Source organism: Homo sapiens, chromosome 11 (assembly GCF_000001405.40).
Source record: "Homo sapiens chromosome 11, GRCh38.p14 Primary Assembly".
NCBI classification, from domain to species: Eukaryota; Metazoa; Chordata; class Mammalia; order Primates; family Hominidae; genus Homo; species Homo sapiens.
The window spans coordinates 33,358,262-33,370,275 of NC_000011.10; positions in this window are offsets into that span (position 1 = coordinate 33,358,262).

Here is a 12,014-nt window from a genome sequence, read left to right on the forward strand (position 1 = left end):
AAAGGGCTTTGAGCAACACATTTAAACCATTCAGCCAGTAACTACCCAGCACAGTGCCTGGCATATAGTGGGTACATCATGAGTCATTTAAAAAACCTTGAAGCATCTACTATGTTTCAAGCACTATACACGGGGCATGTACCAATGGACAAAACAGAGGTCCTTTTGCTCTTATGGATTTAACCTTTTTCCAGGGGAGAAGACTAAAGTAAGATTCAGGTAGGGTAAGTAAAGAAGACGGTACGGGGATAGGGTGACTGGAGAGGTCATGTCAGGGAATGCCTCAGTGAGGTGACACTTGAGCTGTGACAAGGAGAATGCTGGTCAGGCATGCAAAGAAAGAATATCTGGCAGACGGAGCAGCAAGTTAAGCTTTTAATATGAGCAAAATAGGAAGTGGCCATTATGGCCAGAGCATAGTGTTTGAGTGGGTGGCAAGAGATAGAAAATGCAACTGTAAGAGTGGGCATGCAGGCTTTTTGCCAAAGATTGGAGTGTAGATTTAATTCCATATATTGTAGGAGGCCATGGGATGATTTTAAGCAGGCAAACAGTATGACCTAACTTAAAGATCAGTCTGGCTGTTGAATGAAGAATAGATTGCAGGGCCAGGGTGGGAGTCGGAAGACCAGGTAGGAGGTTGCTGAAGTAGTCTAGGTGAGAGGGATGAATAACAATATTTTGTTAAGAGGTTTGTATTAGCAATATAGTCTCCCAGTCTGTGACTTACCCTTTTAGTTTCTTAACAGGGCGTTAGGAAGAGCGAAAGTTTTGGATTTTGTTCAAGTCCATCTTATCAATGTTTTCTTTCATGGTTTGTGCTTTTTGTGTCCTAAGACATTTTTGCCTATCACTAAGTTTCAAATACTTTCTCCTTTGTTTTCTTCTAGGAGTTTTATAGTTTTAGCTTTTATTAAGTCAGTTGTCCGTTTCATGTTAATTTTTGTGTCAAATTTTTACTTAATGGTAATTGAGAAACTACACTTAACACCTAATTAGAAGTGTGGTTATTTGAAGTAGAAAAGTCAGATGTTAATGTTTCATATTACCCCATTGTAAATATAATACATGGTTACAATATGCTTGGCTAATTCAGAAAAATAGATTTTTTAAAACATAAAAATGTATGTTTTCAGATAGTTAATGTACATGTAAGCAACTTCAGATACAGATATTTGCTACTTCAATCTATAGCATTGAATTTATAGGCATTTTGCATGTTTTACAAACTGCACAAACATTTGAATGCCAAAATGCAAAATTCAAAAGTGATCAGATTTATTCTAATAGTTGCTTGTTTCTTCAGTGACTGGAGAATCCAAAGAACTCAACTTTTTTTCTCATGTAGAATTTCTATACTTCTATTTTTTTATTAAAAAATACAAACAAGAAAAAGAGAGTAGTACAGTGAATACACACATAACCTTCACCTAGATTCATCAGCTGACATTGGCCTCATTAGCTTTGTATGTTTATGTGTAGTTTTTATTTTATTTAATTAATTAATTATTTTGAGATGGAGTCTTGCTCTGTCGCCCAGGGTGGAATGCAGTGGCACCATTTCGGCTCACTGCAACCTCCACCTCCCAGGTTCAAGCAATTCTCCTGCCTCGGCCTCCCAAGTAGCTGGGACTACAGGTGCGTGCCACCACACCAGGTAATTTTTTTGTTTTTAGTAGAGATGGGGTTTCACCATGTTGGCCAGGCTGGTCTTGAACTCTTGACCTCAAATGATCCACCTGCCTCAGCCTCCCAAAGTGCTGGGATTACAGGCATGAGCCACCGCGCCCAGCTTGTTTATGTGTAGTTTTTAAATTGAGCCATTTCTGGTTAATCATACTTTGCTCCAAAATACTTAAGCATGCATCTGTAAGAATAATGACGTTTTCAACTAACCATGAGACCTTATAACATCTAGCAAAGTTAACAATTCTCTAACATTTATCTAGTTTTCAGTCCATAGTCAAATTAGACATAGTCAAATAGACATAGTCAAGAATGTCTTGAAACAAGTAGCTATTTTCCCCCTACTCCACCAGCCAATTAAGATTTACCCATTGCCCTTGGCTATGGCATGTCTCTGACTACTTTTAATTCAGAACAGTCCCCCATCCATCCCCCATCTTTTTTTTTTTTTTTTTTTTTGAGATGGAGTCTCACTCTGACACCCAGGCTGGAGTGCAGTGGTGTGATCTCAGCTCACTGCAACCTCCGCCTTCTGGGTTCAAGCAATTCTCCTGCCTCAGCCTCCAGAGTTGCTTGGATTACAGGCCCCCATCACCATGCCCAGCTAATTTTTTTATTTTTAGTAGAGATGGGGTTTCACCATGTTGGCCAGGCTGGTCTTGAACTCCTGACCTCAAATGATCCACCCACCTCGGCTTCCCAAAGTGCTGGGATTACAGGCATGAGCCACAAGTTCAGGCTAGAATATTGTACATTCTGGATTTGTCTGATTGTTCATTTGTCCTAATTGGCTCATCTCTATTTTCTGTAAAGTAGAGGCTGGTTCTAATGCCTTAATTCGGTGTTCATGTGCAAAGGTAATTATAGGAGTTGCGTCATTGTGTCACGTCAGGTTGTTCACTATCAGGGATGACAGTTAAAGAGTGATGACTGGCAAATCTCTCCACTGTCATTGGTGGGGTGATACTTTGAAAGTATCAATAACATTTTACTCGGTGTTTTTAGCATCCATTAATGATTGCTGTCTGAATCTATTACACTGGGGATTGCAAAAATAGTGATTTTCAACTCTATGATTCCTTCTCTTAAATACATTCATGACCTGGCATCTTTCTGTAAAAACAGGCTTTCTCCCTGTACACAAGCTCTCTCGCTCTCTGTTTTTCTGTCATCACTATGGGTTCATGGATTTTGCTTTATTCAGTAGGTTAAAGTGACCAATTATCTTCAAGACCCCTGAATCTTTTTGACATCACCACATTTGTCTGAATGTTCCCTTGCTTTCTGGCCCAAAAGAATGTCTTGGGCTCACCTTGTACCTTTTCTGCCTCAGATCTGAAATCAGCCATTTCAACAAAAAGCCCAGGTTTCAAAGAACTCAGAGTAATTTTTACAGGTCAGGCACAAAACTAATCCCTTTGTCTTGTACTACTTCCCAGTCATGGATGTCATGGGTGTTTAATCGTGGTGTCATGATTCGTTTTTGCTCTTCTCTTAGTTTAGCTTTAATCCCATGTCTCCATTACTTAAGGGTATGTCTGATTCCTATTTTTGCAGAGATGTGGCTTGCCCAGCAACTACTGCACACTCCATGGATCTTACTGATCTTGAGTCCCTCTTAGCCTAGCACACTGATTGCAGATGGTAATTCCGAAGGCAGGATGAACAGGGAGATGAATGAGTGACTATTTTAGAGGGCATGCTTGGGAGAAGTAATGTAGTAAATGCAGCATTTACTACTCTTTCTCTAGTATTTAGCACTTGTGCCCAGTGAATGTTGAATCAATGTGGGCCCTAGGGTTTGAGGACATTATTTAGAAAATCTTGGTAATATTTGTATTCTCAATGATGATGATGAACTTGAACCAGGTGCTGAGGTGAGAGCAGGAACTGTGCTGCAGCATCGCCACAGTTCCCTTATCCCTTGTTTCATCACTTTCATTATATTTCTTGCCTTGCCCACCTGCTCTTTGCACTAACTGTAAGCTCTAAAGACAAAGGCCATTTTAATCCTGCAGACTCTGTTTCTTTGACATTTGCTATGTACCTGGCCACAGTCAGCACTAAAACATTTGTTAAATAGATGAATGAAATCAATAAACATCTGTTGAATGCAATTTAGGAGGCCCATATTTCATTATCTGCTTTGCTGCTACTATAGGTAGTATGATTTTGAGCAAGTTTGGGCTTCAGTGTACTCATTGGCAAATTGAGAGAGCCTGGGGTTGCAAACTTAAAAGCAGCAAGGGCTGGGCAGATGCCATAAGTAGATGAAGCAGACTGAGTGGGGACTGGCCGAGTGGAGAGTCAAAGCCCCACCCAAAGTAATCAGGAAACACAAGTAGGATGGCAGACCAAATGTGCACCAATGTCTACTTTTTGGAGAAAACACAGAAATATGCATGTCAGATATTGGCAACTAATTCAAAAGTTTTTTAAAAAAATTATTTTAGACATGGTGTATACCAAACACAAGTTGTCTTCAGGCCAGAGCTGGTCTGTGGGTAGGCAGTTTGCAAGATTAGTTATTTTGAGTTTATTTTCAGTTTGACGTTTAGTAATGCCGTTCAATATAGTATTGCTATGTTGTATTATGGCCAGCAGGGGGGGAAGTTTCCTAATAAATTTTTTTTTAAGTTTGGTCTCATAATAACTTTAAAGAAAATAGCAAAGCAGAAATATGAGCAGTGTAGGCTATGTCGGAGTGTCTAATTTTGTAATTTTTATTGTTAGAGACGATGTTTCTGTCTCTCTGTCACTTAGGTTGGAGGGCAGTGGCATAATCATAGCTCACTGTAGCCTCAAACTCATGGGCTCAAGTGATCCTCCCACTTCGGCCTCCCAAATTGCTGGGATTACAGGCATAAGCCACCACACTTGGCTCAGTTTTTCTTTTTCTTTCTTTCTTTCTTTTTCTTTCTTTCTTTCTCTCTCTCTCTCTCTTTCCTTCCTTCCTTTCTTTCTTTCTTTCTTTCTTTCTTTCTTTCTTTCTTTCTTTTTCTTTCTTTCTTTCTTTCTTTCTTTCTTTCTTTCTTTCTTTCTTTCTTTCTTTCGTCTTCCTTCCTTCCTTCCTTTCCTTTTTTTCTTTTTTCTTTTTTCTTTGAGACGGAATCTCGCTCTGTCGCCCAGGCTGGAGTGCAGTGGTGTGATCTCGGCTCACTGCAACCTCCGCCTCCTGGGTTCATGCCATTCTCCTGCCTCAGCCTCCCGAGTAGCTGGGACTACAGGCGCCCGCCACCACGCCCGGCTAATTTTTTTGTATTTTTAGTAGAGACGGGGTTTCACCGTGTTAGCCAGGGTGGTCTCGATCTCCTGACCTCTTGATCCGCCCGTCTCAGCCTCCCAAAGTGCTGGGATTACAGGCGTGAGCCACAGTGCCCGGCCGGCTCTGTTTCTAATTTTTATATATTTTGAAAAAGTGAGAAAGGATTTCAACCGTCCATGAATTCTTAAATTACTACTTAGACTGACTGGTTTATCAAGGAATCAAAGGAAGACATCCATTCATCCATTCGTTTCTCTGCTGTCAGGTAGACCTGCGATGTAGTACGAAAACGTGTAGATCATTTTATCTCCAGCAAAGGAAATAAAACTTAGAGGATTTGGCAGCTGGAAGTGGAAGGAAAAGATAAGAGGAAAAGAGTAACAGACATTCAACACCTACATTGTACCAGAGCCTTTTATGTGGCTTATTCTCACAACAACCCCTTCTTGTGACAAATCCTTCTTTATTTTTTTTATTTTGCAGAAAAAGAAAAGGCTTAGAGAAGCTCAGTAGTTTACTTAAGATAACACAGAAAGAGGCCGGGCGATGTGTCTCATGCCTGTAATCCTAGCACTGCAATTTGGGAAGCCGAGGCAGGTGGATCACCTGAGGTCAGGAGTTCGAGACCAGCTTGACCAACATGGTGAAACTTCGTCCCTACTAAAAAACACAAAAAATCAGCTGGGCATAGTGGCACGTGCCTGTAATCCCAGCTACTTGGGAGGCTGAGGCAGGAGAATCACTTGAACCTGGGAGGTGGAGGTTGCAGTAAGCCGAGATCGTGCCACTGCACTCCAGCCTGAGCGACAGAGTGAGACTCCAAACAAAACAAAACAAAGCAAATCAAAACAAAACAAAGATAACACAGAAAGAAGCAATGGTGAAATTCCAGTCCCTGTTTGACTCTACAGCTGTGAAAGTCCCACCTAATTACATTCTCTAAAATGCAGTGCTGGCAAATGTTCACCAACTAGCTGGGTGGGTAAGGGGGTATTCATATGTATTTATATAAATTTGTTATAAATTACATGAATATAAAGAATGGTAGCACATAATTTATAAATGATAATAAAGTATACAACAGTCTTTATTATAAATTCCATATGGCCAACTGGTTCTCATAGAATGCTTTTGTTGAGTTTTACCAGACATATAAGTATACTTATAAGTATAGACTTAAGTAAAACCTTAAGTTGGCTGTAGACATACTAAGAGTATATAGATAGACATATAGTATAGTATAGTATAGTATAGTATAGTATAGTATAGTACAGTATATCTATTTATATACTTACAGCCAGCCTAAGGTTATAATTCTTCCAACTTAAGGTTATAATTCTACCATGATTTGACAAAATCAGGCTATGAATAAATGCTTGATTACTACCTGATTTAGCCAAGAAGTTGCTCATGGTATTGATCAACAAGTATACTTTTGATGTCAGTGTTTGTTATTGTTTTCTTTTACATTTAAGACCAAAAGGAAACAACAAAGACGTATGTTAGAACTTCACTTGTTCAACAATGACATGAGTGAATTCTTTGCTCTATCTGACGATAATTTTCAAATACTGGAAGAATACGCTTTCCCTTTTTTCCCCATATTTTGTTTGTTATTAACAATGTACAACCATAGGTAAGATAAACATTTAAATATAGTCCACATTAACATTTTCTCCATAACTTTCTCAAGTCTAGATGATCAACAAAACAATAAGTCAAGCCCTGATTTGTAGTGTTTGCCAATTTTCATGGTGTAAATGCTCCCACCAAGAACAATTTCAAGCTATCTGCACAATGTCGCTGAACACAGAGCTGGAAAGAGATTTGCACCATTTAACATAGATAAGATAGACATAAATAACTTCAAGAGCACAGATAATAGTAAAATTATTCAAAGGTGATATGTTTTGAGTATAACTCATCCTTACTTTGGACAGCAGTGTGTGGCCATAAAAATGACTATAGAAGCTCAGACTATGTGATCTTTATCAATGGGAAAAATTACAATTGTTCCATGACCTTTAACATTATTTTTTTGTTAAAGCATTGCTAAGTCTCTTACTGTTGGTTGTAAATGTATAGGGAAATGAAAAAATAGAAAAGCTAATATTTATATAGCATACCAATTAAAAACATGAGAAGCATTGAGAGTTAAGCGTTTTATTTCTTTGCAAAAAAATGTATCAGTAGTTTAAATGGTGTTTGCATTCTTCTTATCATATAACTTAGGATTCACCTTTTTTATACCTTGGCAAATTGTCATACTCCTTTGCAAGTTTGGATCAGCTTCCAACATTTTATCCTCTGTGCTCTGAATGTCGTGAAATATCTCTGAGAATTTCTCTAATGTGAATCTTTTTCAGCATCACTTCCTCTCTGGGCTATCTTCATTCTTTTTGTCAGAGCCACTTTGCTCATTTATGTTGATAAGTTTGCTTTCCCTGAGTTCCTCTGGCTGCACCTGTACAGACTCTAGAACAGCAGTGTGTCAACATTCCTACAATGAGCTATTTCCTCTACAATTCCACTTACATTTATGTCAAATTTTACTTCCAGCATTGTCACTTTTTATTTCTTTGCTGCACCCTCATCTTTGTTGGTCAACTGCCTCTTTTGATTCTATCCATTTTTGTCAAATGTCATGTGGGTTCGTCACTGGAGGACAAGAAGGTAAAACAACCACACAATTTGCTGTCTGCAAGAACTGAATGACGGATGAGCAGTGCTCCATCACTGACAGTCTTTGAAAGAAGAGATGCGATTGGTCACTGATCATGAAGCACATCTATTGCCTACAAAGTGATTTGTGGACCAAAGAGCTAGCAATGAAGTTTGTACTTTATGCAATCACTCACAGCTAATATACTGTGGTGACTAAAATTTGAACTGCGTTGTTGGCAGACTGGTATTATTTAACTAAATGGTGATAACCAAAATTCGTGTATCCTGGATCCATGTAAAGTGAGGATTGCCCTGTATTTACCTTTGCTTTTAACATAATTTAATTGTAACTTTATGTAATTGAATTTTTAATGATGACTGTGTTTAACAACGGCTTCATAAAATTCCTGTAAATTTAACAATTGGCTCTCACAAGCTGGCACAAGCGAGATTTAGCACAGCACTGCAGAACCTCATGAAGCATCTGGTATTTCCCATTTATGTTAAGCAAGGGGGCTGTGGCTTGTTTAAGTTCCCAGGAAGAATGGCATAGCCAGAGCTATCATTTCAAGGCTCATATTCTTTAAACTCCCCTGATAACTGCATTCAAATAATCTAAAGGGTTACAATAAGCCTATAACCTTATTCTATATCTTCTTGGTATCCATCAAGACGATATATTTGAAAATTTAATAACTTTTAAAAAGTGAAACATTTGTTTGAGCTCTTCTCTTTCCTTCCCAGCCTTATTTCTTTCATTAATAGCTGACAGAATCTGATTGTCAGCTTTCAATAGGTTATACTGCAGTAACAATGATCCCCAAAATCTTAGTACCCCAAACCAGCACAGGCTTATCTTTTTCCCTTGTTACATGTTGCTCCCAGATTGGTGGCAGCTCTGCTTCTGTCTGCAGGTCACATATGCTCCATGGGCCTTCTTTATTTTAGGATTCTGACTGAAAGAGTAAAAAATATTGGACATGCTTTCTTATTGGAAGAGGGAAAAGATGCAGAGTTGAATCTTGAAATGGTTCTTAAAGCTTATGAATGAAACTGGCACATTGTCATCTCTGTCACATGCCATTAGCCAAAAGAATTTGCATGCCCTAGTCTAATATAAGTGGGGAGGAAAGAATCATCAGGGAAGAAGGGCACTGCAAATCCCCCGTGGTAACAGGTGAGGAAGTACAGCCATCCCTCGGGATGTGTGGGGGATTGGTTGTAGGACTCCTCTTGTACACCAAAATCCACAGATGCTCAAGTCTCTGATAGAAAATGGCATAGTATTTGCATATAACTACACATTTACATCATCTCATATACTTTGGGCCTGGCACAGTGACTCATGCCTGTAATCCCAGTACTTTGGGAGGCCAAGGCCAGTGAATTGCTTGACACCAGGAGTTTGAGACCAGGCTGGGTGACATAGTGAGACCCCTGTCTCTACAAAAATAAAAAGAATGAAAAGTAGCTGGTGTGGGGGCACACCCTGTAGTCCTGGCTTCTCTGGAGGCTGAGGCAGGAGGATGACTTGAGCCAAGGAGTTCAAGGCTCCAGTGAGCTATAATTGTGCCACTGCACTCCAGCCTGGGTGACAGAGCCAGATTTTGTCTGTAATACATACATACATACATACATACATACATACATACATACATACATGCATATATACGTACACTACCTTCATCCATTCATCCATCCACCTTCCCATATACTTACATGCTTTTTTATTTTTGAGACAGGGTCTTGCTCTGTTGCCCAGGCTAGAGTGCAGTGGCTTGATCATGGCTCACTGCAGCCACAACCTCCCAGGCTCAAGTGATCCACTCACCTCAGCCTCCCAAGTAGCTGGGAATACAGGTACGCACCACATGCCCAGCTAATTTAAAAAGTGTGGTTTATTTGTTTTGTTATTATTATTATTATTATTATTATTGCAGAAATGAGGTCTGTTGCCCAAGCTGATCTGGAACTCCTGGTCTCAAGCGATCCTTCTGCTTTGGCCTCCCAAAATGCTGGGATTACAGGCATGAGTCATTGTGCCTGGCCACATATACTTTAAATAACCTCCAGATTACTTATAATACTAATACAATGTAAGCACTATGCAAAAAGTTGTTATACCATATTGTTTTTTATTTCCACGTTTTTATTGCTGTATTGCTATTTTTTTATAGTTTTTCTCTGAGTATTTTCCACCTGAGGTTGGTTGAATCTGTGGATGCAGAACCACGGATACAGAGGCCGTGCCTAGTCATCTCCAGGGAAGTGAAGAGTAGAAATGAAGCTGTTTTTTGTTTTTTCATTTTTCGTTTCTTGTAAAAACACAGGAATAGCTTTTCAACAACTACCAAAGCTTAGGGATTTGATTTTTTAAAAATTCACTCACTGACGTTAGGTATAAGCCCTATACCGAATGGCCCAATATCTTGTTACTCAAAGAGTTGTCTCCGATCAGCCTCGGCATCACTTGACAGTTTGTTAGAAATGCAGACTCTGGGGCTGGGTGCCATGGCTCACGCTTGTAATCCCAGCACTTTCAGAGGCTGAGGCGGGTGGATCACCTGAGGTCAGGAGTTTGAGACCAGCCTGACCAACATGGTGAAAACCCTTCTCTACTAAAAAATACAAAAATTAGTCAGGCATGGTTGTGAATGCCTGTAATCCCAGCTACTTAGGAGGCTGAGGCAAGAGAATCGCTTGAACCTGGGAGGCGGAGGTTGCAGGGAGCTGAGATCACGCCACTGTACTCCAGCCTGGGCAACAGAGCAAGACTCCCTCTTAAATAAATAAATAAATAAATAAATAAATAAATGCAGACTCCTGGGTGACCCCAGACGTTCTTTTTAGCCTCTCTCTCTCTCTTTTTTTTTTTTTTGTATATTTTTGTGTTTTTTTGTATTTTTTACTACTTATTTTTGTTTTTCTTTTTGTATTTCAATTTTTTTTACTACTTTTTTTTCACTTCAAAATTTTTTAAAAATAGATTTCTTTATTTTCTGGAATTTTTCTAGCCATGGTAACCCCAGGCCTTTTTAATCAGAATCTTCATTTTAGCAACATCCCCATGTAACTTATGTGTACATTCGAGTTTGTGAAACTTGGGCCTAATGGACAGCTTTACCTGGATGCTCCTTTTAGCACTTGTTTTTTTCCCCCAAGCCTAATTTTCCTGTATCTATATTTCCTGTATTCCCAGATACCTATCTTCCTTCCTACTTTCCTTCCTTCTCCCCTACCTCCCCTCCCTTTCCTTCCCCTCCCCTTCTCCCTTCCCTTCTCCCTTCCCTTCCCTTCCCTTCTCTTCCCTTTCCCTCCTCCTCTTCCTCTTTCTCCTGGTATCATTGGTTACTCCCTGTCAAATCCTTCAACACTGTTCCTGTCTCCTTACCATCCTCATTGTGCTGCCTCAGTTCAGACCTGGAACTTATCCAAACTAATACTTTTATCTGACTTCCTGGCTTTGAGTCCACCCCCACTCCTCCAACCTTCCTCATTACTTTCCAGGTGGTCTTTTTAAAATTCAATTTTGACCAAGACAGTAGCAGTGGAGGTGCCAAGGAGATGCTTGGAGCAATAGAAGGGGCAAGTAAACATAACCTAAGTGAAAGCAGAGCTCTTCTTATCAAATTCAGCTTCAAGACGAGTCCTGGACCAGTTTCCTCAAAGCTTCTCATGAAAATTCTGAAGTTGCCTTTGGATGCCAGCCTGCTTTCAAATTTTCACTGTCACTGTCAAGATGATGTCCAATCTCTTGGAGGACTTTTCGGAGGACTTTTCTTTTCTTTACTTTTTTAGAGACAGGGTCTTGCTGTATTGCCCAGGCTGGGCTTGAACTCCTGGCTTCAACTAATCCCACCTGGGCCTCCCAGTGCTGGAATTCCAGGCTCGAGCCACTGTGCCTGGCTTTAGGAGGACATTAAATTCTCTATGACCACAATCTAATTTTAAAACATTTCTATTACCCTAAAAAGAAACTTTGTGCCCATTACAGTCACTTTTTGTTTTTACTCACCAGCCCCAGGTAAGCACTAATCTACTTTCTCTTTGGTTTGCCTTTTCTGGACACTTCATACAAACGGAGTCATAGAATATTGTGACCTTTTGTGACTGGCTTCTTTCATTTCGCATAGTATTTTCAATTCATCAGTGTTGTAGCATGTATCAGTACTTTCTTCCTTTTTATCGATGAACAGTATTTGGTTGTCCCACATTCTATTTATCTTTTCACCAGTTCATGAGTTCTTCCCACTTTTTGGCTATTGTGAATAATGCTGCTCCATATATTTGTGTAAAAGCATTGTGTGAACATACGCTTTTATTTGTTTTGAGTAGATACATGTATCTTGATATCTTGGGTAGATATCTCTAGTTTCTGAAAGGGATAGTGTGGTAGCGT